This window comes from Homo sapiens, chromosome 21 (assembly GCF_000001405.40).
Source record: "Homo sapiens chromosome 21, GRCh38.p14 Primary Assembly".
Lineage (NCBI taxonomy): Eukaryota > Metazoa > Chordata > Mammalia > Primates > Hominidae > Homo > Homo sapiens.
The window spans coordinates 31,123,871-31,151,858 of NC_000021.9; the positions used below are offsets into that span (position 1 = coordinate 31,123,871).

At 42.3% G+C, this 27,988-nt stretch overlaps 1 protein-coding gene across 14 annotated transcripts in view, besides 2 other annotated features; it reads right to left on the minus strand.

Moving 5' to 3' along the window:
- The window catches only part of TIAM1 (TIAM Rac1 associated GEF 1), a 440,670-nt gene that overhangs the window by 5,453 nt on the left and 407,229 nt on the right, over nt 1–27,988 (minus strand). For 13 of the 14 annotated variants that reach the window (NM_001353690.1, NM_003253.3, NM_001353688.1 and 10 more), the window contains 8 exons: nt 23,025–23,133; nt 17,455–17,634; nt 17,248–17,366; nt 12,063–12,171; nt 7,020–7,078; nt 6,343–6,445; nt 3,195–3,282; nt 652–824 (listed from right to left, as the gene is read on the minus strand). In NM_001353690.1, the coding sequence (NP_001340619.1) occupies nt 652–824; nt 3,195–3,282; nt 6,343–6,445; nt 7,020–7,078; nt 12,063–12,171; nt 17,248–17,366; nt 17,455–17,634; nt 23,025–23,133 (940 nt within the window). Of the gene's footprint in view, nt 1–591; nt 825–3,194; nt 3,283–6,342; nt 6,446–7,019; nt 7,079–12,062; nt 12,172–17,247; nt 17,367–17,454; nt 17,635–23,024; nt 23,134–27,988 lie in introns of all 14 variants that reach the window. The other variant, XM_005261040.3, reaches the window with a different exon arrangement.
- Nucleotides 9,224–9,273: an enhancer, noted in NCBI's record as "active region_18352". NCBI's record gives its function as "activates an Ori minimal core promoter by ATAC-STARR-seq in GM12878 lymphoblastoid cells {active_cell/tissue: GM12878}" and the evidence as "EXISTENCE:reporter gene assay evidence [ECO:0000049][PMID:35858748]".
- Nucleotides 13,197–13,246: an enhancer, noted in NCBI's record as "active region_18353". NCBI's record gives its function as "activates an Ori minimal core promoter by ATAC-STARR-seq in GM12878 lymphoblastoid cells {active_cell/tissue: GM12878}" and the evidence as "EXISTENCE:reporter gene assay evidence [ECO:0000049][PMID:35858748]".

The window sequence follows — 27,988 nt, forward strand, 5'->3', positions numbered from 1 at the left end:
GTAATGGATTAAGTCCTACAAGAATATTTATGCTGGGACCATTTAAACTCTAGATTCTTGTTTCCAAGAATAGCTCGAGGCTTCCCCAAATTAACATGGAGACTAAAAATAAAGTTGCAGGCACAAGGTCAGGATAAAAACTGGAAGTGCCATGTGGGCTACCAAACCTAGAATCCTTACTACTGAGAGCAGGCATTGCTGTGCTGCCAGGCCGTGAAGCCACCATGTTCTCAGAACAGAGGGCTGTGACCTTGCTGAAATGTGACACACGGCTTTCTGCTAGACAAAGCTGGCTGTCATGCAAAGCAGCGACTCTCATTCTGCAAGCAGGCTGAGACAGCCTCTCCAGAAAGAGGATGTGTCTGCAACCCGACTTGGCAAATGAGGGAGGAGCTCACCAGCCAAAAGGAGAAGGGAGGCAAAGGGAAGGCTTGAGGGAGGACAAGAGGAATGTAGATACAGGGCGGATCCCCAGGAGCCACTGGGAAGGAGGCAAGGGCAAGGAACCTCACACCAGGGAAAAACCGTCCTCCTACATCAGCCCCCACCAGGCCACACCTCACCCCCACTCAACAAGGAGGTCAAGCTCACTGGAGTTCTACTGCGGAGTGGGGGTGACGGGAATCTTGAACGTCCGAATCCCCACAGTACCTGCCCTGCTCATGGCCGGCCTGGCCCCCTTCAGTGCACACAATCTTTTGCCTCCAAAAGGGACATATTGCTGGGATGAGGGAAGGCTCTCGGTTTTGAGGAGCTGTCTTCTGTGCTTATCACGCAGGATTGAATGCACAGCCTTTAGGAAATCCTTTCGGCTCTCTGGGGAGCTAGGAAAAGAAGATTTACAGATGTTAGAGAATCAGGGCTTAACACATGGGGAACTTCTAAGGTTATCAGGTGCAACCAAATAAATATCCCTTAGGGCCAAAGGCTAAAGACTGAGGCCTTGACTCCAATTTCTATGCTGAGCGGTGATTTCACGCCAGTGATAAAGAGCACATAACTCCTTTCCCTTCATGCTTTGTGATCTATCTCCTGGCGCTGATGTGGGGCAGAGTAGCCCATTAACGAACAGATCTATGGACAGTGGGAGTTTGTACCAAGAAGCTGCCAAATTCTGCTCCTGGCACTCAAGGCAGAGTTTTTCATTATAAAATGTTTTTGAGGGCAAATGAACCACAAGATTCTTGCGGCTCTGCAGAGCACCCAAAGGCCGACGTCTCAACGTCCTAATGTCCTCTAGAGCTGAGCTCCCTCCTGGTAAATATCAATGGTTCCCATGACACATTTCAACATGTATATATTAAGGCTGTAAAGAACTATAAAATCTTCCCAAGTCCTAATTCTCATGGTTAAAAAAAAAAAAAAAAAGTGCTTCCTAGGAAGAGTTATTTTTCTTATTATATTCCCAATATTTTTACCCAGGTAAGTTTTACCTGGTATTCCCTATTAACAATAAATACGGCATCCGTGTAGGCAGGGCTACTAAACCCCATGGACCTTACCAACAAAATCACAAACAGATGAGCCAAAATAGACGGTAAAGGTGGTGCTCAAACCCCACGAGGTTATACAAACAACATTTCACTTATAGTCCTGACAGCTTCCCGGGGATCTGCCTTTTGTTGACCTCTGTCACCCAACACAGAGAGATCTGATGTAGCAACACAAAACATGGGTTTTGAGGTTAAACCCACCATTTATTTTCTTTTTCTTTCTTTTTTTGACACAGAGTCTCGCTCTGTCGCCCAGGCTGGAGTGCAGTGGTATGATCTTGGCTCATTGCAACCTCCACCTCCCAGGTTCAAGTGATTGTCCTGCCTCAGCCTCCCAACTAGCTGGGATTAAAGGCACCTGCCACCAGGCATGGCTAACTTTTGTATTTTTAGTGGAGACGGGGCTTTGCCATGTTGGCCAGGCTGGCCTCGAACTCCTGACCTCAAGTGATCCGCCTGCCTTGGCCTCCCAAAGTGCTGGGATTACAGGCATGAGCCACCATGCCCAGCACCAGTGTTCATTCTCTATAAGGCCTTAGGCTAAGTACCATCTCTAAGCCTTGCTTCCCCATTTGTAAACTGGAGTAAGAATTGTATTAGGTTGGTGCAAAAAATAATTGCAGTTTTTGCCATTAAAAGTAATGGCACTTTTAATTACTTTTAATGGTAAAAACTGCAGTTTCTTTTTGTACCAACCTAATACCTTGGTCTGACTAAATGAAATAATGAATGTAAGGTGTTTAGCATAGTTCATGCTTGGTAAAGGTACCTTCTTACCATACTAACATTATAAAATATTGCTAATAATCATAATATTGATTCTATTGTCTTTTGTAGGTAATCCATAGTATATTAGTACTCACTGTGTGAGGTACTGGGTAATTACTGAGTAAATCACTGAGTATCTACGATTAAATTAAAGTTAGCCAGACGTGGTGCTCACGCCTGTAATCCAAGCACTGTGGCAGGCCGAGGCAGGCAGACCACGATGTCAGGAGATCGAGACCATCCTGGCTAACATGGTGAAACCCCGTCTCTATAAAAATACAAAAAATTAGCTGGGCATGGTGGCACATGCCTGTAGTCCCAGCCACTCGGGAGGCTGAGGCAGCAGAATGGCATGAACCCAGGAGGCAGAGGTTGCAGTGAGCCGAGATCATGCCACTGCACTCCAGCCTGGGCGACAGAGCAAGGCTCTGTTTCAATAAATAAATAAATAAATATATATATAAATAAAAGCATGATTCAATACGGGCACATTTAAAGCCAAATATATTAAACGCCATCTGTTGGAGTCATCTATCTTGTATTTTTAGAAAAATAAAAGAATAGGTTTCATATGGGAGAAGACCTCAAATTCTCATGGCGGAGGGAGAGAATACAAGGAAGGGCAAAAGAGGGTGGCAGGGTAGAAGAAAAACAACAAGAAATAAGTAGAAGCCCACATCATGAGCCCAGCTTCCCCTCAAGACGTGCAGGTGATCAACACAGGCTGACCTCCATATGTGCTCCAAATGATCAGGAATCCCGATAACACCTTCACAAGCTGTCAGCTCCTCCCAGCTGACTCTCCATTTACTGCATCTCAGTGATGTTACAGTACAAACAACGTACCAAACACCAGAACACAACGTAAGACACCAAACCGTTCCAATCTGCAGAAATGTCAACACGGCCTCGACTTTACAGGCCCAGGCTCACCTGCAGCACAAGTGAAAGACCCTCTCCGGCCTCCCTTCAGACTCGGATTTTACATGGACAATTTCACACACGGCATTTGCCTCTGCATCTAAAGAAATTAAAACAACAATGAATCAGGGTATGTTTCAAGTGGATTTATTTACATGTTTGCAAAAGCATTTTTCAGCTGTGATAGAGGATTAATAATGCAGAACACTGTATAAGATCAAAGATATTTTCCTACTATTTCACAATCTAAAGAGATGAAGCGACTGAAAGCTTAATGGATGCAAAGAAGAGAACACTTGGAAAATTTCCAGTTGGTAAAATCTTCTAGATGGTCTAAAAGGTCAATCATATGGACCGAACTTTTTTTTTTTTTTTTTCTTTTTTGAGATGGAGTCTCATTCTGTCATCCAGGCCGGAGTGCGGTGGTGTGATCTCAGCTCACTGCAACCTCTGCCTCCCGGGTTCAAGTGATTCTCCTGCCTCAGCTTCCTGAGTAGCAGGGATTACAGATGTGCACCCCACGCCCGGCTAATTTTTGTATTTTTGGTAGAGACAGGGTTTCACCATGTTGGTTAGGCTGGTCTCGAACTCCTGATCTCATGATCCACCCGCCTCGGCCTCCCAAAGTGCTGGGATTACAAGCGTGAGCCACCGCGCCCGGCCTGAACTCACTCTTCCAGCCATGCAGTCTGGTTAACTGAACTGTGCATTTCAATTAAATGATTAATTGTTTTGGCAACAGTTGGACTCAGTGGAGCCAAAGCCTCCTATGCAGATTTCATCCGGCCAGGGATACGACAGGTAAGCCTTTGCTGTCTGTTAAGGGAGGCTTCCCCCAGGTGGCTGGGCCTAAAGCCCTGGAGACCTAATTGGGTTTCTCGTCCCCAGCCTACCCCTGGAGTCTGCTTTGAACACAGCAGAAAATGGTATATCAAGAAGGTAAGGGACAATTTTAAAATAATTTTGAAGCTCTGTAGTGCCTATAATAGCACAGTACTTTAAGTCATGAATAAAGTGTTTGTGAAAGGAACAATTCACTGCAGACATTCAGGCCATACATTGTGAAGTCTCACTTTTATCCAGTGGTTCAGAACCCTGGTCACAAACCCTCACTGTGGTTGCATGATTTAACCCTAACCAGAATCTATCTGCAAAAAATTGTACAAACTTTCCAAACTAAAATAAAAACCTAGAAATTCCACGTTGTGATTCTCAAATCCACTAGAGTGGATTTCATAATGAAAGACATCTTGACTAGCCTTTATAACTCAACTAAAATAAGCTTTTATCTTGATGGTTTTAAACTTGACTTGAATGAAAAATAGAGAGTGAGAATGGAATGTCGTATTACAAAGATGGCTTTGTCTTCAAAATTTGAAGTTTTTATGTGTTTACTCCTCAACGCAGGCGAAATTCCTGGCTTAGAAGCTGTCAGTTTGCTACAGAAATAAACTTTCCCATTTGTAAACCTGGCATGAGGAAACAAAGGAACTAGATAATTCATAACCTACGATTCTAAGTAAGACTTTAGTATTTAAGTGCTCAAACCTCAAAATGCTATGTATTGCTGCCCTAGACTCACAACTTACAGGTGCCTGCAAATTCATATATAAATCAATTTTGCAAATCACATCATAAGTAAAAGGGCATCCGGCAAATCTCTACTGGAAGCTTAGAGAGAAACCTTCTAAAACAAATAATCATTCCAAATATATTTGCCCTACATGGTTTTTGCATTTGAGTTTTCCTACTGTAAGGCAGAAAAACTGTGAAGGAAGAGATGCCTCATTTAATTTGGAAGAGTAACTCAAAGTGTGCAAAATATGGCAAGAGGGTTCTCCTCATGACGTTGGACTAGGGTGGGTTGGTTTTCTGAGGATCAGATCCAGTTTTACTGCTTATGACAAGTGGAAACAAGGAGGCTAAAAAACAGAAATTGGATAGTAGGAACTTGTAGATGCCAAAAGCATAAAATAGAAATTCTCTTGATCATGCACCTGCAGGTCTCTACCACCAAGGCTTTTCTTTACCAAAGCTGCACCTGCTGTCCAAGTGGGACAGGGAACAGATGTGGCTAAAGAGTTTCCATTTGACTCTCCAGAGATGCTCATTCCAGGATGTGCCTGGGAGAGCCACACAGTCCATTCCTCCTCTTGAGAACTTGGCTTCAAATTAGGCCCAGGATGGGGAGCTTCTGGGTCACAGAAATATCACTTTTCTTAGTCAGTACCCCTGCTACTCATGTGTTTCAAGCATCGTCTAATTATATTATGAAGTATACTTATAGCTACCCAACAACTCACTTCACTGCTATGTGGATCACAGAAAAAGAATCAACATTTCAGGTTGGGCATGGCAGCTCACGTCTGTAATCCCAACACTTTGGGAGGCCAAGGCGGGAGGCTTGCTTGAGCCCAGGAGTTCAAGCCTAGCCTGGGCAAAATAGCAAAACCCTATTTCTACAAAATATTTAAAAAATTAGCTGGTTGTGCTGGCACATGCCTGTAGTCCCAGGTACTTGGAAAAGATAGCTTGAGCCTAGAAATTTGAGGCTACAGTGAGCTATGATAGCACCACTGCTCTCCAGCCTGAGCAATGGAATGAGACCCCATCTTTAAAAAAATTAAAATCAATGTAAAAAAGAATCAACATTTTAAAAGCCTTCACACTAACAGCAAAGATAAAGATTTGTAATACTTTAGGGAAAAAACATGTGTAGTCAATGCTTTTTAGTGCTTTTGGTGGTATTTTTGGATCTCTCAGTTGAAAGGCAAGTGAGTAGTTTATGTGGGCTTTGTTTGCTCAGTCTCAAGGATTCTTTCAAGAAGCACAGGCTCACTGTACTCAGGTGGTAGTCACTATAGTATTAATCTATAGAATAGAATAACTAGAATCTTTTCCAGGAATTTTGAAGACATTACACATCCATTCACTCAGTTCATTCATTCACTTGGTTCATTCATTCATTCATTCAATATTTAATCAATGGCTGGGTAAATAAGAGGCAATAGAGAGACCGAGAGACAAGAGAGTTAAGCATAGGGAAAAAAAAAAAAAAAAGACGGTAGAAGAGTTAGACCAAGAGTGTGGATTCAAACAAATAATTCCTACACACATCAGAAATATGTGTGTGAAATACCCAGCACAGGTGAGAGTTTACCTGCACTCGCCAAAGCTCGAACCTGCAGCGCTTCCGTGGGGATCATGTGTCGAAATCTGAAGGGGTCCCAGTCCTCATAAATGGAAAGCCTGTGAGATCCTACCTGCAGAGGAGAAGGAACCAGCTGCATAAGAAGAATCTAACCTGCCCCGGACCAGTTCCCTGCATTTTCTAAACCAGCGACAGACTCTCACGCAGTAACTCTAGGCGTGCCCAAAGGATCTTCACCCCCATGAGCTCCTGTCCATCCAGCAGGAAGTGAGAGGCTGCGTGATAAATACGTTGAGGGGAGGGTGTGCAAAGAAGTTTGCTAAGCAAATGCAGTGAAGAGAGACACACAGAGAAGAGGAGAAAAAGGATCCCAAAAGAAGAACAGGGGCAACAGAGAAGGGGAAAAGTAGCGTTAGGAAGGTTCTGGGCCATGGCAGACCCAATCACCAATTGAGTCCAGTTGGTTCCAATTCACAAAAATGAGACCAATTCATGTTTGTGCTCTAAACATAAGCCTGCCTGAAAAGATGGCAGGATGAGTGATCTCAAGCATCCTTAGCAATGCTTAAGAAAGAAAAAAGATCATAAAAAGGCTCATACTGACAAAATGGTAGAATTATGCAGGCATAACTGATAAGCAGATAGAGAAATAGTTTCAAACCATGGGGTAACATAAGATGTCTTACAAGTTTCTTCTTCTGTTTGGAACCATCTTTATACACAAGGACCACAGCAGTTTTGAAGACTGGAAAAAATAAAATAAAGACAGTTATGGTATGTCATGTGTAGGGTTTTCCCCTTGACATCACCAACTTGTGGTAATAAACACTACAGTTATGAAGAGGACGTTGAGATCCCAGTTAACTGACTCCCACCCACCTTCCATTCATTCATCACATCTGTGAAAATCAAAAGCCTATTGAGACACAAGTTTCCAGGTTCAAAATAAACATAGAAAGCCTACATAAATGGAATTAACCTATGGCCCAAAAAACTTTTGCGTAAAATATGTTAGGTATGATACAATTTCAAGGTTAAAACTTCAGCTGATACATATTCAACAAAAATGTACTAATTCAGTAGATGGAGGAATAATATAAACGTCTTTCACAATAACAATGCAATTGCTGAAGATGATTTACATTTATGCAAATTAAGGTAATAGTGCACATAGACAGTGATAATTTAGGAAATATAACTCATCTTTTGACCTAAAGAAACAAAAATGAGTTTATGAAATAGAATTCAACTGTATGTCTTCCAGAATGACTGAATCAGGTAAGCTCTCTAGGAGTGGTAAACATGTAGTTTCATTCTTATATTCTTTCGGGGGTGGGGAGATACAATGGAGTTATGCATAATCTTCCAGAGAATTTGTTAAGCAATGCCAAGCACATTTAACCTGCAGTGATTCTGATTCTTCCTAGAAGGGTAAGTAGAGTTGGCACCCAGAAGGAATAGAAGGGTGACTGACTCCTGCCTGTCCTTTGTTCTCTGTGTCAGCGTCTCTGCTATGGTCCAAATGTTTGTGTTTCCCCAAAATTCATACCTTGAAACTAATCACCCTTGTGATGGTTTCAGGAGGTGGGCCTTTGAGAAGTGATCAGGCCCTGAGGACTCTGTCCTCATGAATGGGATGAGTGTCCTTATAAGAGACTTGAGAGAGATGCCTTGACCCTTTCGCCATATGAAGCCACAGCTAGGAAGTAGGAGAAAGCAGGATCTTGGACTTCCAGCCTCCACAACTGTGAGAAATAAATCTCTGTTGTTTGGAAGCTGGCCACTTTATGGTATTTTGTTATAGCAGCCCAAATGGACTAAGATAGTCTCCATTATCCCTTCATACTGACCCCAAGGAATAGCCCAGTCACACAGCGGCTGAAGGAGGCACAGCCTTGTACACCAGACACAGAATTACAAAAGGAACAAACATTCAGAGAATTCTCAGGGATGGGCCACCAGGCTCACAGGCCCTTTGGAGGCCAACTGGAAGTATCTGGTTCAATTTCTATCCTACGGAGGGCAGGTCGGTCTTGTCTCCTCTTTGTGTAAGATCATGCTAATCTCCACTGCAGGGAAATAAGCGCTGAGATGCAAAGAAACTGACTCCAGCCACTCGGTCTAGACTGCCCATAGCCCTTCACACCTCACAGCATCTGACCCCTCAAGGTTCCCAGAGCACAGACTGGCAGGTTCCCCACAAAGGTTCACACTGACCCGAGGAGGCCACACCAGCTCTTCACAGCAGCTGAGCACAAGCAACCTGAGAAGGCCTTTTATTCCCACTATGAAGCCTTCAGAAATCAGAGAGGCTGGGACAGCTAGGTCCTCTTAGAAATGAAAGAGCTCTACCCCAATGACTCTAATCTCAGAAGCGCCACCATGCCACTGGGACCACAGCTCAATGCTATGATTCCCTCGATTTCCCTCAATCTTAACCATTGTGGATCACAGCAGGAGGGCCAGAAAGTGAGCTTCAGCCTGGCACCGGGACCTCAGCCTCTCCCTTAAACTTTCCCTAATCCTCGGAGCTAGTGTTACTCAAGTGACTCCACAGTGTTGCCCGATCCCTTCAGACATGGCCTTGATGATCTCCAAAACTCATGCTACCTTTGCCAGCCTAAAGCATCCACTCTGTGCCCCAAAACGTGAATGTCAAATACCCTTCAAGGCAGAAGGCTATTTCTATTTTTGTTTGTTTCTGTTTAAGGCAACAATCACCAACATTTGGTACACATGAGCCATCCTGTGAAACATCAAGGCGCTTCGTTGGCAGCAAGTCAACTTCGGTTTCAGAAGAAAGCTGCACTATTTCCTGAGGTTAGAGGTTTAAACCAAAACAAGACAACCACATTTTAACCCCAAATCTGCCGACTGAGGGTAACCATGATCCTTCCTTCACAGCACCTCTTCCTTATTTCAACTCCTTGCTCAGCCTTTCTGCTAGTTCTGCCTTGCTACTTGAAATCACACCCAAACCATCAAACTTGTCTCTTTAACGGCTGGGAATCCACAGAAGCTCATCATGACTACAGCCTTTGTTCATAATCCCAATTTTAATCCTTCCCCTTCTCTTTCCTATTACTCTGGAGAGGATTCTGAATAATGATAAACACGTCTTGTACCTCAGAGCCTTCAGTTTTTCTCTTATGAACTACAGCCCCTATTGAGTTTGCTGACAGTGTGATGCCCATGAAGCTGGAGTATGCAGTCTCCATTTACACCAGGGACAGGTGCTGTGGGCCCGCCTTCCTGGAGACAGCACCCACACCGACTTCTCATAAACAGCCCAGGAGGCAGGGAACAGAGTAATGTAGAGTCCACTATCGGAGCCTGTGCAGAAAGTGGTACCTAAATCCCCAACCTCAAAACCAGCATTTTCCTGAATCACTTACACCATGGGTTGGCAAACAAGGGCCCTCAGGCCAGACCCAGGCCTGCTGCCACCTGTGTGGTGCAGCTGCTGATCCAGCCATCTCATTCATTTACATGTTATCTAGGGCTGCTTCTGGCTCCAGTGGCAAAGCATGTGGCCTCTTGGCCCAAAGCCTAAAATGTACTATGTAGCCTTTAACAGAAAAGAGGGTCGGGCGCGGTGGCTCATACCTGTAATCCCAGCACTTTGGGAGGCCGAGGCGGGCAGATTACAAGGTCAAGAGATTGAGACCATCTTGGCCAACATGGTGAAACTCCATCTCTACTAAAAACACAAAAATTAGCTGGGCGTGGTGGTGCGTGCCTGTAGTCCCAGCTACTCGGGAGACTGAGACAGGACAATCGCTTGAACCTGGGAGGCAGAGGTTGCAGTGAGCCGAGAACGCACCATTGCACTCCAGCCTGGCAACACAGCGAGACTCCATCCCCCCAGAAAAACCAAAAAAACAAAACAAAACGAAACAGAAAAGAGTTTGCCAACCCATTTTCTCCTACTTAAATTATTTTCTTATTCTAAATCTCTTGATTTCTAACTACAGTGAATCTGTAAAACTGAGGGCAAAGCCATGAAAAATCTAAATGTTGACCTCTATGACTGCTAGTCTGTAGTCCCACATCACTGTGTGGGTCATTTACATCAATATCCTGCATCCCATGAATGACCCATTAAGCAGCATCCAGGAGATCCCAGACTCCTCCAAGAAGAAATCACTATAGAAGAAACACAAGTGGTGATGTTGAAAAGAAAGCAAATACTACTTCCCCCCTCCCCCAAAACACCTACCCCATCAAAAACTAACAACTTGTTAAAATACCCCCAATATTCCTTTGAATGGCCTATTTAGTCACATGCTTTCTCTGCACTTACATTTGTTTTGTTTTGTTTTTTTGAGACAGAGTCTTGCTCTGTCACCCAGGCTGGAGTCCAGTGGAACGATCTCAGCTCACTACAACCTCTGCCTCCAGGGTTCAAGCGATTCTCCTGCCTTAGCCTCCCAAGTAGCTGGGATTACAGGCACCTGCCACCACATCCAGCTAATTTTTGTATTTTTAGTAAGGACGGGGTTTCACCATATTAGCCAGGCTAGTCTTGAACTCCTGACCTCAAGTGATCCGTCCACCTTGGCCTCCCAAAGTGCTGGGATTACAGGTGTGAGCCACCACACCTGGCCTCCTTTGTTATTTTTAATGAAATGACCTCAACAGCTACAGGGGCTCTTTGGAAATTTTGGGAATATTAGTAACTTTTCAATGAAGGCTAAGTCATTGAAATACAAAGTCCAATGGATCTTTGCATTAAATACTTTGATTTTAAAATCACTAGGACATTCCATTTGGGGATACTTTGTTCACATCATGGAGGAAAAAAAAAAGTTTAGTTAAGAAGGAGAAAGCAACCTCCGTTCCCAGCAAGCCCACAAAAATAATATAAGGCAAGAGAATAAGGCAGATTTCCATTATATTATGTTCCTACCCATGAGTCTTTTAGCAAGAGGCTAGGACAAAACGCAACCTAAAACAAAAGCATGGAGTGTTGATAGTTTTATATTCATGAACAACACAGCAATATGCCAATAAGCATTTACATTGCAACAACAAGCTATGTTTCCTAAATTATATGCTAACCCATGTTTTTTCTCTCTCTCAAAAAGCATATTACAATACAATCACATGAGATCTCTAATTGCAGCAACTGCATCCATCTAAACTGGTTTATTAAAAAATAAGTCATTCGCAAACATCTCTAATTTCACTAGTATTGAGTGGCAATGCGATTGGGATGCACCTCACAGCTGATCCAGGCACTCCAGAGTTGCCACAACAGCTCAGCTGAGAACCAGCATCCTAAATCCTGGCCTTAAGACCAAACAGCAACAAAGTCAGGAAGCAAATAAAAGATCTAGGACTGGGGGGTCTCAGAAACAGAGGCCATTTTGTCTTGATTTTTCACTTTATTTTTCCTTGGTTTATAATTAACCCATTATTTTGAAAAGACACGCAGAGCAGCAGCCAAAAAAAAAAAAATTCTTTTCCTGCCTCTGTGTTTATGTCTGGGATAGACTTGGGCACAGCCATTTCCGCCCACCCATGTGGCTGAGTGACCACATAGGGCAATTTAACTCGAAGGTTTCATTTAGTGTTTGTGAGATGTTGGTGGCTACGGCAGGAAGACCGATTCAAGTAACTGCAATTAACTTTATTTTTAATCAATTGGGTCTTGAAAAAGAAATGTTCTTGTTTTGAAAACTAAGCTAGACTTTTCCCCCTCCATAAAACGCTTTTCTGATACACACCGAATGCTGCCAACTCTGGTTCCTTTTTCCACTTGCCCAGCGAGGCCGGCGGGTTCAGCCAGATCACGGTAGTGTGCAAAAGCAGGTCTCCCATGCTCAGATCTGCAACCTGAAAGCCAGAGACGTGACAAAGCTTACTGGGTGGTGTTATCAATACTCAGATTTTCATGATGTTTGAAAATTCAGCATGCTGATATTAATTTTACTTCAAGAAAATACTGCTCCTAAAAACATTTGCTTAAATATGTGAGATAATGCTAAGTTAAACTGCTGGATTTAGCCATTCCACAATGTAACATATCAAAACATCATGTTGTACACCATAAATATATAAAATTTTTACTTGTCAATTTCATGTTTTTGAGAAAAGAAATCGCACCAAAATGACAGACTACATTTTTTAAAAATATTTTCGATTTGTGACTGTCTCAATAAACACCACCTCCCATCAAAACAGGCTGAAGATACAATATCCAGTTAACCTTTCCAATGGGAAATAATAGTATCATTATGTTCTAGCCAAGTTTGAGCTAGGAACAATACAATGAAATTTTAACGAAAAAAAAAATCCTTTAATTCATATGAAATCTCCTAATTGAAAAATAAATCCTCTCCATTCCCAAAGAAACACATGGAATACAGGGGAGAGAAAAGGCTCATCTTTTTTTTCCCCATTTATTCCATGCTTGTCTACTAGAATTTCAGAAAAGGATGGCAAATAGGTACAAACTGGGGCTCTGAAATTCACATGCAGTTAGTCTGTCAAAACTGATCTACAAAACTGGAGATGTTTTGTGTTCAGAGACAGTTTCCCAAGGAGATGCTAATGGCCGTCCATGACAAAGATCCACCCCCAGATAACTGCAGACATTTCCACCAGTGAATATCCACTTTTGGGAAATGTAGGCAAATTATTTCTTCTTCCAATCCATTTCAAAGACGACTTTATTTCACTTTAGATGAGGGAGAGAGAAGCCAATAAAGAGTTTGAAGATTCCTCTATTGGCACAGGCAGCGTGAATGCTGGAATCCCAAGAGACCATGAGGTTTAGTCGCTCACCCCCAGCGGTCACACGCTAAACTGTCTCCGACAGACAAGTGCTGGTTGCAGAGCCATCTAGACACGATGATCCAGAGAGTCTGATGCAAGTTCAACGTCTATGCCTCACAACAGTCCCGTCTGCTTTTCTCACTGCAGTCACTGGCCTCCTTCCAAATCTAGCTGGGTTTCCTATACAGCAGCAACCTGGCGACCCGCCACTGAACACAGTGCAGTTTGGATTGCCCTTCTCGAGCCACCAAAACAGGCTACCGTGCTGAGATGTGGCTCCAGCAGTACAGGATACAGAGGTATTGTTGCCTCCCTTGATTGAAATTATTATAATCATCACTGTCATTATTACTAAGCTATAGTACCATTAGTACAATCAAGGGTTAAAATAATTTTTAAGCAGCCATATTATTTTGTCTATAGATATTAAGTAACTCATCAACCAAACCCCCAGGATATGATCAGCCAAGGTAATGACATAGTCTCCACTACCTATCCCCCGAAGACCCACATAGAAGAGGAGGAGTTACATACAAAAGACAAATTCCCAGAGGCCACAGCCCCTGGGAGTACGTCTTTAAAAGTGATTAAAGGCCAACATGGTAGACTGTCCAAACTCTACTTCTTCCAACAGAATTACATTATCTGCACCTTCTGCCATGTGATTTTCCAGCACCTCCCACTAGACTAGGCAGGGTACACACATCGCCGCCCGGATGACTTTGGGTGTAGGCATGTGACTTAGAGCCCACCTTCCAGCCATGGGAAGGACTTGCCCAAGACAGCCATTGCTGCTTCAGCCTGGATCCTGGAAGGAAGAGACAAGGAGCACACCAGAACCTTCAGAACTGGAGCTAACCAAGAGAAACCAAACCTTGGTTGACCTACAAAGCCACATACGAGATAAATATCTGTTGTAGAGAACCACTGAGATTTCCAGTTATTTGTTACACAACTGAAAATGGGCTGATGCTGTTCCTGTGCACAGGGTTTTTCTCTGGACAAGCTTCCCAGGGCAAGTGGACTAGGGGGTCAGGGTGCTCCCTCTGGCCACAGCCTCTCTCTGGGGCTTCCACTGGTTCCCTTCTGAATCCTCCTCCCAAACCCCAAGAAAGAGTTCTGCTGGGAGGCCTCCACCTTACTAAGGACTGGGATGCCCGACTGAGTCAGCATTTTTAAGGACTTCTTTTAAGGGGAAATGCCCTCTTGCATTCTTCTTCCTCCTAGTTAAGCAAAAGGGATTTCTTAGCCTAACTCCCCAGAGTTTAACATGGGGGTAGGAGGTTGAAGGCCCAGTTTCATCAAAAAGCTGTTTCTTTGCCAGCTTTGTTCTCTGTGAACCTATTTGCCTTCAGAGATATCTTAAGGAATGTTGGTTGAAGACCCAATTCAGGTACCTTGTGTTCCTAGAATGTTACCATTTTACAATAAACCTGCTGTTACCAGCAGATACTGATAAATGTTCCTATTCCTCTTTACAAACTTCATCAATCCATTCTAGGCTGTTACTTCACATTGCCACTAAGAGGGAACCACAAGGATCAGGAATTACTTTTGTGAAAATCTGAATATAATTTGGGTACCTCCACAATCACCCGCCTGAGTCTCCGTAATTCTTCCAATATACTGCTGAGAGCAGTGGAACAGAATTGTCATTGATCTTGGCACAGACCATCCTATTTCCCAAGACTCATTCTCCCTAGGGTTTTGTTCTTACGGCATTGAGGCTGCTGCATCCTTTCCAGTTTAAAGGCCATTCTCCTCAATGGAAGAAAAAGAGATGAAATGGGGCTTAAGACTTGAGTAAAACCAACTGCCTTGGAGTAATTGATTCCCACTGGGGGTCTATTTCCTGCTCGTTTGTCTTATCCTTCCACAACAATATCTTCTCTTGCTCTCTTTGGCATCTTTTCCAAGCCAGAAATTTTCTGGGCTTTGCACCTCCTGGTAAAAGTAGGATTTTCCTCCTCTTCAGTCCTGGTACTCAGCCAGTGTCCCTCCTTCCATCTTTTGCACATTTCTTTTTACAATCTCAGCCCACAAAAAATACTTTGTATAGCACTATATCACTTTGTTCCTCACTGGAAAGATTTCTTACATATCAGAATTTCATTTTAAAGGACTTCCAGGTTCACTGAAGCCATATTCCCTTTTACAGTCTCTGACTTCTGATCATATTCATCTTTTTTTCCTAAATTCTTTGCAACCCAATATCCATTTCGCCTTCTAATCTTTAGCATCATGGTCATTTGCTCCTAAGGTCATTACAATCTAATAATTAATTTGGCATATAAAGAAAATGTAATATGACGTAATGAAAATGTTCATTTCCATGGCCCAGTAAAATGCACTTCTGTCAGAATGAAATAAACCAAAGGATGGGAGGACTTCTTATAATAAAAAAAAGTTTACAGTATTATTCATATTAGTCAATAACAAAAAGCATTAAAATTCTGTGATCAACATAAAATCAAGGTATAAAATTACCTTCAAGATATAACTAAACATATACATAGATATTAATTTAAAACAATCAAAATCAACACCAAAATATGGTAAGTTCTATGTCTTGAAACCATAGTTTTCTTCTTGCCTTTTTCTGTATTTTGCCCTCTTCTTTAATAAGCATAATTTTTTTCTTCTTATAAAGTTTTATAAGAAAGTGAGAGCTAAGTCCAGGGTGGCAACCTTCATCTTTTCTATACTCTGATAGATTAAATTACCTGCCAAGTAGTCTCAGAACATTCTCATGCTCTGCTTGTAATGTTATGTAAAAACAAAATTGTGTTGCAGTTGAAAACTACATATCCTCTACAGCAGACCTTCCTGGGCTATCAGATCCTGACTGTACACTGTCTTTGAGAGCCTGTGCGATTCTTTGTAAAGTGTAGGTAACAGACAGATGTGTAAATTCTGTCCAGTCTGATACTGGCCTAGCTGATTTCCTCCAGCTGTGGAAAAACCAGTTTGTCTCATTTACAATTCACCTCAACATTTCTTCACTCCATATGTAAACTTCTGTGATTGTGATTTTTCCAATGAACCTTTACAACACCTGCCTGGGTCCTTCACATCTTATGAGTAAAATAAATTATGAGAGGTCATAATTTTACCTCTTTCAGAAAATTATCCTTTAACAGCCTGAAAACTTGTTTTGTTTCATTAAGGACAAAAAAATGAGCCTGGATAATGGCCTTTAGTATCTCTGGAGATAAGGTGCTTTCTCTAGCCTACACTAAACAACCAAACTTTGCCCCACCCACACTGCTTTTAACCCTGCTGCTAGTCACAGCAAGAGTGTTTTTCCTCTAGGTTCCTTCCCACATTTTCTCTTTTTTAAGGTGGAAAGAAAAACTGAGTCTAATCTCTAGTTGAATTTGAGCATACAGAGGCATTGACGAATGTTACTATATATCATATCCCTATGATTCCTCTAAGTATTATTGGCATTTTGTAATTGAAAAATAATAATTGTATGTATTCAGGGGTACACAGTAATGCTTTGATATATGTACTGTATAACCCATCAGATCAGAGCAATTAACTTATCCATCATCTCAAACATCTACCACTCCTCTGTGTTGGCAACATACTTTTATTCAGGTAAGTGCATGTTAATGACTCAGGCACAACTTTTAGCTCACCTTAAGTCTTTCTCAGGTGTATCTGTTCCTGCCACTGCTCTTCTAAGTAGGTTTTTGGGTAGATTTAACTGATTCAGAGTCATTTGAAATTTTCATTCCTTTGACAACTATTTTTTGGGCACCCACTATGTGCCTGGTGTCATTCTAATCTCTGGAGGTAGAGCCTTGGACTTTCATGACATTTCTAGAAACAGCCCAGATTGTGGTAATGGAAGTTCACTTTCACACTTAACACAGAATAAAGCCAGAGATCCCCAGGGTGAGGAGCTGAACATCAGGAAAACATTTCCTACAGGAAGAAATAGTCCAGCTGAGGAAGAAAATTCACATTGCAGCCTTGGATAAAGCACAGATGTTCCACTAAGAAAAACAACAGCATCCTAACTATTTTACTTACAAGTAACACCTTTTTAAAAAATAAATAAATAAATAAAAGCAAACTCAAACTCGGCTTTCCTGACAGATGTCCTGAGAAGATGGGGACCCTCACCTCTTTTTTCTCACCAGTCTGTTCAGCAATCAGCTGGTCAAACACAGCCCCAAACTCTTCATGGATTTTCTGCATCTCATTGATGTGACTGGCAACCTTGTTCATGGTCTTGATGGCCACTGGAAGAAAACAGGTTGTGAAATGAGAGGCTATTTAGAGACCCTCATGGAGACTCAGGCCTGCCGGGGGTCCCAGGCCGAGGCCTACCGTCCAGGTGGTAGTGCTCCTCGCTCTCCGCATCGGTCAGGGCGAACAGCTCCCTGAGCAGAAGTGGGTACTTGAGGATCCTCTGGATGGGCTTGATGAGGTACGACTCCAGCGTGGATGAGTGCTGCTGCTTCGGGTTCTGGGCATCCAAGAATGCCTTGAAAGCCGTGTCTGTCTTGGCTGGCAGGGTTTAAACACAGGTCATGGGGGTGGAACGCCCACGTGACTCCCTTCCCACAATTTCCCTCCCTTCCTCAGTGACTCCAAGGTGCCTTTTTGCAGGACTGAGCAGAGAGTGGGTGGCAGGAAGAGGGACAGGTAGGGGAGGGGGCAGTCAGGGAGACCACAGGCAGTCAGATCTATGTATTTATGTGTTGGGGGTGGGGTGGGGAGAAGCCTGATGAGTTAAAGGATGACGGAGTGTAGACTGCAGACACCCGGATTTCCAGCGGCTGCTCTTTATCCTCCTCCTATTACACATGTTTTTTTATCCTGATGTTTTGACACCTGGGGCCTTACTGTCCATGGGGAGACTGCCCCGCCCACGCTGGCCAGTTCCTGGAGATAGTAAAAGACTTGCCAGGAAATGTGCCTTTTATAGAGTCCCCACACACTGCCACCTCCTGTCTGAGGCTCTTACACCCTGGGCCACCATTCCCCTGTCCTAATCATCTCAGGGTGGGGAGCACACATCTCGGCTTCGAGTGCACCACAGAGCCCGGCCTCCCCAGTTCCTTCCCTCAGAAACCCCAAGAAAGGCTCTTGGCCACATTTTCCCCTCGCTCCCTCTGCCTCCTGACACTGCATGTCCTCATCTGGCCCGCATGGCATGGGGTGCCCCTGCCTCTTGGGAACTGTGAGTGACAAACTAATAATCATCCGTCCCCTGAGCTGTTGGCCCTGTCATCCCAAAATAATGATAAACCTACATTCTGAACACTCCTTACCCTGGTTTTCCTAATCTTTCAAGCATTTCACTGCTGGAAAAACCTCTTTTGAAAAAGGCAAGCATGCCGTGCACAGTGGCTCATGAATGTAATCCTAGCAGTTTGGGAGGCAGAGGCGAGCGGATCACTTGAGGTCAGGAGTTTGAAAGCAGCCTGGCCAACCTGCTAAAATCTCATCTCTACTAAAAATACAAAAAAAAAAAAAAAAAAAAAAGCCAGGCTGGTGGCAGGCGCCCATAATCCCAGCTACTCAGGAGGTGGAGGCAGGAGAATCACTTGAACCTGGGAGGCGGAGGTTGCAGTGAGCCGAGATCGTGCCACTGCACTCCAGCCTGAGTGACAGAGGGAGACTCCGTCTCAAAAAAAAAAAAAAAAGAAAGAAAAAAAGAAAAAGAAAAAGAAAAAAAAGGCAAGCAGATGCAGAAGCAGCAGCATCTCGCAGTGCCAGTGAAGCAGAGCAAGGCAGGATCTCCCACGGTGATCTACTCAAAGTTAACTCGGTGGCACCACCTGTGGGCATCCGTGGGCTCTGATCTGATGCAGCTCAGGCAGCACTTTCCTCACCAGCCTTGCCTCCTTCCTCAGTGTCCCAGCTGGTTTGGGAAGCAGCCCTGGGGAGTTGTGGGACCCCAAACAGAGGTACCTGGCAGGGGATGATACGAAGCCGTGGCTAATGTCTTCCAGGTGCAAAGGAATGTCAGGGGAGGGCAAAATATGGGAAGAGGAGGGGACAGTGTATCCAAGCAACGTAACAGTGGACACACGCTGCCTCTGGGCTGGTGAGCACCTGGGGGTGATGGGGGCTGTGGCACGTCCAGCGTGGGCACTCTGGACGTTTCCAGTGTGGAAACTCCACACACCCCTCCCCCATACCTCGCCCAGTCACCTCTCCATTTGGCTATTCCTGAGCAGCATCCTTTATGATAAACCAGTAAATGAACACAATCAACATTGGAAAAAGCACATTCTTCACATTCATCTGGATGACTTTCCCCCATTGGAAATTCATTTCCAATGAATATTCATCTGGATGACTTTCCCCCACTGGAAATTTAACATGGCACTCCAGTGACTCGATACTTTTCATAACAGCACCTGGAATGTCACAGGAACTCAAAAATCTCTTCAATAAATAAATACCCTCTCCCCGCAAAAAACAGTGGGAGTGTATATATAATTTTTATATATATATATACACACACACACACGTATATTTTATTAGAAAGTTTAAAATATAGAAATTTAAAAGTTTAATGATATATATTTTTTATTAGAAAGCTTAAAATACAAAAATTTAAAAGTTTAATGATATTTATAGATTTTATTAGAAAGTTTAAAATATATAAACATTAAACTTTTAAAATGTCTAATAAAAATGTCTTTCCATCCCCAGTGGTTAGGGGTATGAGCTAAGACTAAAGATGCTATAAAAGGGCATCAGAACATGATTCTTCTGTCTTTTTTTTTTTTTTCTGAGACGGAGTCTCGATCTGTTGCCCAGGCTAGAGTGCGATGGCACACTGTGGATCACTGCAACCTCTACCTCCCGAGTTCAAGCAATTGTCCTGCCTCAGCCTCCCGAGTAGCTGGGACTACAGGCATGCACCATCAGGTCTGGCTAATTTTTTTTTTTTGTATTTTTAGTAGAGACGGAGTTTCACCATGTTGGTCAGGTTGGTCTCGAACTCCTGACCTCAAACGATCTGCCCACCTCGGCCTCCCAAAGGGCTGGGATTATAGGTGTGAGCCACCGCACCCAGCCCTGTCTTTAATTTTAAAACACAGCAATCATGGGGGAAGACCTCATAAGACCACAATCTTGTTATCCCTTTTAAGCCCCATTAAGAGAACAGACTCCCTGGGTTGGCATCATTTCTTGTCTTTCCAAAGCACAAAATCCTGAAGAGAAAGGACACTGGGAAGAGTGGCCGACTGGCCCCATGTGACAGGAGAGCTGGGCCGGGCTGGGGGCCAGCATATGTGGAACTGATGGATTTTGTGGGGCATCCCAAGTCTAGGGCCACATCTAGAAGGACCTAGGAACTCTTCCCCAACAAAATATTCTCGTCCAAAAATATGGCTGTGGGTATTTCACCCATCGACTGAATTCCATATCAGAGCAAAAGACTGCACAGTTCACAGCGCTTGGCGCAGTCCAGGAGCGTCACTCCTCCAGGCCAGCTGTGAGTCCGCGATGAACATGAACATGCACTTTGTTGTTCTCAGAGTTATCCTGACACTCTGGGCTCATTAGACAATTAGAAAATATGGGTCAGCTGGGCATGGTGGATCACACCTGTAATCCGAGCACTCCGGGAAGCCAAGGCGGGCAGATCACCTGAGGTCAGGAGTTCAAGACCAGCCTGGCCAACATGGTGAGACCCCCGTCTCTACTAAAAATACAAAAATTAGCTGGGCATGGTGGCGTGCACCTGTAATCCCAGCTATTCAGGAGGCTGAGGCAGGATAATCACTTGAACCTGGGAGGCAGAGGTTGCAGTGAGCCGAGATCACACCACTGCGCTCCAGCCTGGGTGACAGAGTGAGACTCCATCTCAGAAAAAAAAAAAAAAAAAAAAAAGAAAAGAAAAGAAAAATATGGGTCATTCCCACTGTTTTAAGGGATAGTTTTGAAAGATAATATAATATTTTTCTTATTGAATTAAGAAAAAATCCATGGGGGCAGAATTTAATCTAATTGAGTGATTAAAAATAACACAAATTGCTCAAGGGCAGAGATGGGTATATAATTTCACTGTGGAGCAAAGCACTCTAAAATTGTTACTTTAACAATCTCGTAACAATTAGCATTCAATAAAGGTTTTAAAAGAAACACACTGCACACACAGAGCCATATGCCCAACACAGCACACGGGAAAGGTCAGGCAGCATGACAAGGAGAATCCCAGGTCCCCTTTTCATTTGAGGTTCCACCAGAACTCTGTTGCACAGACCACCACTACCGTTAAGACTGTTTTTATCTGGGGCAGGCTCTTTGTTACCCAGAGATCTGTATTGTGCTAATACTTCCTATAATAGGTTTTAAATTAAGTCAAGCTAGTTCTCTTTGGCAGCAAACATAAACACAAGAACATTATTTACATATCCGGGGACCTGATCAGCAGCTGTTTACTTGGCAGCTACAGTGAAGTGTTAAGGAACAGCAAGCTGATTTCCAGAGATTCTTTAAAATCAAACTTTCTGTTGGTGCAACTGTTTGCCAAGAAAATGTTTCCTTAATCCTTTTACCATCAAAAACCACCATATGCTGAACTATGGCGACATAACCACTTTCTGGAGACTCTCAGAATGTTCCACCGTCTTCTCAGAGCACTTAAGGAAAAGCAGCTTGCCCATATAAAAATTCTACTGTGTCCTGCACAAAAATAACTACAAATGCAGCAGTTTTCAAGGATAACTGAGACAACTTTAGAAGTGCTTTTGGGAGCTGTTATCACACTCCCAGGAACAAAAGTAGGTGAAGGAAAGATAAAATTCCACAAAAAGGTATACGGTAAGTCCTCACTTAATGTAGTCAGTAAGTTCTTGGAAACTGCAACTTTATGCAAAATGACATACAATGAAACCAATTTTTTTCCTCATCAACATTATAACAAAATGATGTTGAACAAAATGACATTAGTTGGGAACCTGCTGTACATCGTGTCACTTAAAAGTCACAGTTTCCAAGAACCTGTCGACAACGTGAAGTGAGGACTTAGTTATGAAGTGTGGTAGGTTATAATCGAAATTAAAGAAAAACAGAAATAAAGCAGGGAATTTCTAAACCCCCTACGTTTTTACATAACTGCAAAATGACCCATCAATTCTGGCCCCAAATAGCAAGGTAAAACTTTCATTACAAGAAAATTGACAAAACCATTAATTCAAGATATTGGCCAGGTAATCCTAGCACTGTAGGAGGCCGAGGTGGGCGGATCACCTGAGGTCAGGAATTCAAGACCAGCCTGGCCAACATGGTGAAACCCCATCTCTACCAAAAAATACAAAAATTAGCCAGGTGTGGTGGCAGGGGCCTGTAGTCCCAGCTACTCAGGAGGCTGAGGCAGAAGAATCGCTTGACCTGGGAGGTGGAGGTTCCAGCCCAAGTGACAGAGCAAGGCTCTGTGTCAAAAAAAAAAAAAAAAAAAAAACAAGGCAGGGAGCAGTGGCTCACGCCTGTAATCCCAGCACTTTGGGAGGTCGAGGCGGGTGGATCACCTGAGGTCAGGAGTTCGAGACCAGCCTGGCCAACGTGGCGAAACTCCATCTCTGCTAAAAATACAAAAATTAGCCAGGTGTGGTGGTGCACGCCTGTAATCCCAGCTACTCGGGAGGCTGAGGCAGGAGAATCACTTGAACCTGGGAGGCAGAGGTCGCAGTGAGCCAAGATCGTGCCACTGCACTCCAGCCTGGGCAACAGAGTGAGACTCTGTCTCAAAAAAAAAAAAAATGAAAAAAAAATGAATACATTACATTGCTCAGCACCCATATCAGTGGCTTGCTGGAACATCTATCTGGCAACCAATGACTCTTAGATTTCTGCCCAAAAGCCCCCAACCACTGTCAGCCACACAACTGACAAGCAACACACCCCCACCTCCACATCCTCAGAGGCCTTACCTTTCACCAGGACCTTGGGAACTTTTGTGTGGCTGGCGCAGAAGGCACTGTAGAGCTTGAAGCGGTCAGCATAATACAGGAATGATCCCCCCAGAGAGAACAGCACTTTCTGGATTTGACGAGAAAAGGCACAGTTGGTTGTTTCCTTCCTCCACTGGAAATATCAGCAGGTTATGGCAGGGAGCTCACATCTGCCTGGCCCACCCCACAAATCAACATCTTCCGTGCCTGTCAGAGCCTTTCTTTGCTATCAAATGCCCTAAAATTGCCCATTACAAAGTATGTGCTTGTACAAGTTTGTGTAAAAGGTGTTGGACTTTTTGTCTTCTTAGTATTTATAGGGTAGATGTCCCTGGTTTTCCAGGTCTGTGTCTTTTAATAACCTATCCGGGCTGTTTGAATGTTGATGAGAAAGTATATACTTTGGAAAAGTCAGAAATCTCAATTCTCTCATTAGCTCCTGTTGGCAAACTAAATAAAGGCAGGAAATGCTCATACCTCCCGCCCCCGAAGCAGAAAACATGTTCCTCTGATCACTATCTTCATGCCTTCCAAAACCACCTTCTCCTCTAGCAACTAAGAACATAAGCAATATTAAAGGAAGAAACACGCTCAACTATGGAAGTCAGGTATCATCTCCCCAGCCTCTCTGCCCTGTCCCAGTAGGATCACAACTGGGTAGAGGCCTTCTCATTAAGATTTTACTATGCCTGAGAAGATACTTTGTATCCCACACATTATATATAGAGATATGTTATATGTAAATATATAATATATAGATATATATAAATATATATTCTATAAAATATATATTTTATATAATATATAAAATATATAATATATAAAAATATATAATATATAATTAATATATTATATTAATATATTATATTAAAATATATATATATATATATGGCCTCAGAAAAACACCTTCTGTTTCACACTGAAAGAGTCTTGTTTAGAGAGGGACCTTATTTAGCTTATTGAGGCTTAGAATTAAAAGGCAGGGTTCAAGCAAAGAAATAAGGTTTTGAATTTGAGTAACAAACTAGGTTCCCCAAAGTGCAATTTATCTAATGAACAATGCAGAGGATTCTGAGTCTGTCCATGACCAAAAAAAAAAAAAAAAAAAAAAAAGGTTTATTTTAAACCATACATAATTGGTAATTAGATGCCTCACTACTCTTCTTACGTGTTCTCCTTTTCCTCCTTTACTTTCCAAGCCCTCCGCAAATCTCCACCCTGGCTTGGAGGGTGTCAGCAGGAGTACCCTGGGTACTGCCATCGGACTCTGTGAGGGAGTTATCCTTGGAGCCTGATATGGTTTGGCTGTGTCCTCACTCAAATCTCACCTTGAATTGTAGCTCCCATAATCCCCATATGTTGTGAGAGGTAACTGAATAATGGAGGCAGGTTTTTCCTGTGCTGTTCTCATGATAGCGAATAAGTCTCAGGAGATCTGATGGTTTTTATAAAGGGCGGTTCCCCTGCACACGCTCTCTTGCCTGCCGCCATGTAAGATGTGACTTTGCTCCTCCTGAGGCCTCCCCAGCCATGAGGGACTGTGAGTCCATTAAACCTCTTTTTCTTTACAAATTACCCAATCTCAGGTATTTCTTCATAGCAATGTGAAAATGAACTAATACAGAGTCATACCCAAGAATTAAGCAAAAAAAGTTGTGGAAGAAAATGTGCTAAATGTAACCCCTCCCTTTAGCCATCCTAAAGCCATTCATTTATTTAACTTAATATTTACTGTTTATTTACCCTACCATAACCACAGATGAAACACTAAGGTATTCACTTATTCCTCCCGCCTTAAAAATTGATTCTCAGGGAACAATGTGCACACAAATATGAGGGTTTATACACAAAGACTCCACTTCCCCAATGTTTCTGTTCTGTAGGACTTCAGAACGCTTCTCACAGGCTGACGTACATTGCAAATTTCCAAATGAAAATTTTATCAAAACTTATTTGACATCAGAACTAATTATTTCCTTCTGATACTACCTTGAGACTAGTGCTCTATGCAACACAGTTTGAAGATTTTAACAAGTTTTTCTTTTTCTTTTTTTTTTGGTCAAATATACAATGAGGAGTTTAAAAAGAGCAGCAATTGTGGAAATCAGCAGCAACAGGTTTGGGAGCAAATCTGGAAACCAACTCAGAGAGCCTGGAGAGAATCCTGCAGGCAGGCACACTAGTGTTCATGAGCCATCTCACCTTACAGATGGAATGGAGACAATCAGATTGTGCCATAAACAGCAAAGTGAAGGTATATGAAGAGGGTCCCACTTATGTGGAATTGAGAAGAGTGATGGTTGAGTATGGAAGTACCGGTTTGGTATCCTTGATCCAAAATACTTGTGACCAGAAGTACTTCAGATTTCATATTTTTTCATATTTGGGAATATCTGCATTATATTTACTGGTTGAGCATCAAAAATCGAAAATCCAGAATGCTCCAATGGCCATTTCCTTAGAGCAACATGTTGGCACTCAAAAAGTTTCCAATTTTAGAGCAGTTTGGATTTCAGATTTTCAGATTTGAGATGCTCCACCTGTCACTAAAAGAAGCAATGTACCTGCCTCTCCCTAGAATAACACTGCTCTCAGTACACTCAAGTCTATATCAAAGTTCTGGTACCCAAAGTCTCCTTTTTGTGAATCTTTTTAGTGATTAACTGGACCCAAACTCAAAGAACCAGCCCCACAGCAAAAGACTTGTAAATGAATATAATGAATGTTAGCTACTTTAGGTTAAAACGTAGTATTTTAAAGTATGTCTATAACCATATTTTAACCAACCCTGGCCTCCAGAATATATCCATTTTTATTAAGCAGCTTTTTTGTTTATCTAACTACCAGGCCACATTATGTGTTCTACTGTGCAAATTATCAATTTACTAATTTAGAAAACAGGTATCACTACAATGAACCTAACTTATTTCAAATGAAGAGCATAACCACCAACAAGCAATTTTTGAACACAAAAATGAACTATATGGAGTATTTAGGGTGAAAGATATATTATTGTGCCTACAACTTTCTCTTAAATGGTTTTGGAAGAAAATATTTTATATGTACACATAGACACACCATACATGCATAATGTACACACATGCACATATGGATACATATACACATAGGAGACAGGGAGGGAAAGAAAGAATAAAGCAAATGTAGCCCAATGCTACCATTTGGGGAATCTAGATGAAGGGTATTCAGGAATTCTCTGCACTATTCTTGTAACTTTTCTGTAAGTCTGAAATTATACCCAAACAAAAATGAACACCTATAATATATACATATATATTCACATACTTATGTGTGTTTGTATGTAATTCTTAGTAGCTCCTGTTGCAGAGAGGCAATGTAAAGAGATAACACATACACAAAAAAACATATATTGAGGTAGAATATCGAGGTGAGGCAGTCTTTACCCCGGCTCCAAAACTTGTACCCTAACATTACACAGCTAGATTCCTGCAAGTGTTAGAAGGCAGGCAAAGTGTATGGGGGCCTATACACATATGAACAGCTCATTCTTAACACAAATGCAAAAGAAATTGAGTGGAAAAAGGATCAAACGACAGCCATTGCAACAAACAGGATTAGAAAAATTGGATATTCATACACACACAAATTAACTTTGATTCCTACATTAAACCATAACAAATTTAAGTTCAAATAGATCAGAAGTCTAAATGTAAAACTATAAAACTTCTAAGAGAAAACTACAAAACTTCTAAGAGTAAACACAGGAAAAAATCTTTAGGCAAAGATTTCATAGATAAGACACCAAAAGTGTGATTCAAAAAGGGAAAATTTGAAAAACTGTACTTCATCAAAATTAAAAACTTCTGCTCTGTGAAGGGCACTGTCAAGAAAATGAAAAGATGGGCCTCAAATACAGAAAAAAATATTTACAAATCATGTATCTGATAAAGGACTTATAAAGGATATACAAAGAACTCTCAAAACTCAATATTAGTAAACAAATAACCCAGTAAAATAAATGAGCAAATTATTTGAACAAACACTTCACCAAGGTGGATATACTGAGGGCAAAAAACAAGCACATAACAGAAGACGCTCATCATCGTAAGTCATTAGGGAAATTAAAATTAGAACCATAATGAGCTGCTACTACACACCTGTTAGAATAGCTAAAAAGAGAAAGTGACTGTGACCTCAGCAGAACAATGAGGAGGAACTGCTGGAGGGAGCTGCAATGGTATAACCACTTTGTAAAACAGTTGAGCAGTTTCTTAAAAAGTTAAACATACCCTTACCATATGACCCAACCATTCCCTTCCTGGGTACTTAAGAGAAATGAGAGCATATATCCATACTAAAACTTGTACACATATGTTCACAGCAGCTTTATTTGTAATTACCAAAAACTGGAAACAACCCAAATGCCCAAGAAAGGTGAATGGATAACAAAGTGTGGTCTATCCATTCAATGGAAGACAATGCAGCAATGAAAAGGGATGAGCTCTTGATACACACAGCAATATGGACGGATCTCAGTACAACTACGCTGAGTGGAAGCAGCCCCAGAAAAACGGGTACTTGGTATGGGATTCCACCAATATAAAATTCCAGAATGCAAACATATTTAACATAACAGGGAGCAGAGCATGGAGCAGGGGTAGAGTGGGAGGGCAGTAAGAGGCAGAAGAGAAAAACCACAAAAGGGCAGGACAAGACTTTCAGGAGAAATGATTATGTGCATTGTCCTGATTGTGACGATGGTTTCATAGGGGTGTGTGTGTGTGAATTCATCAAATTCCACACTAAGTATATGCAGCATATTCTACTGCACAATTATACCCCAATTAATCTGTTAAAGCACATGAGGGTGACACGTAAGCCAACACATGAAGCAATGTGCTTTGTTAATTGGAGGTGCAACACAGGAAATCTGCAATAAAAGAAAGCCAAGCAGGGGAGAGGAA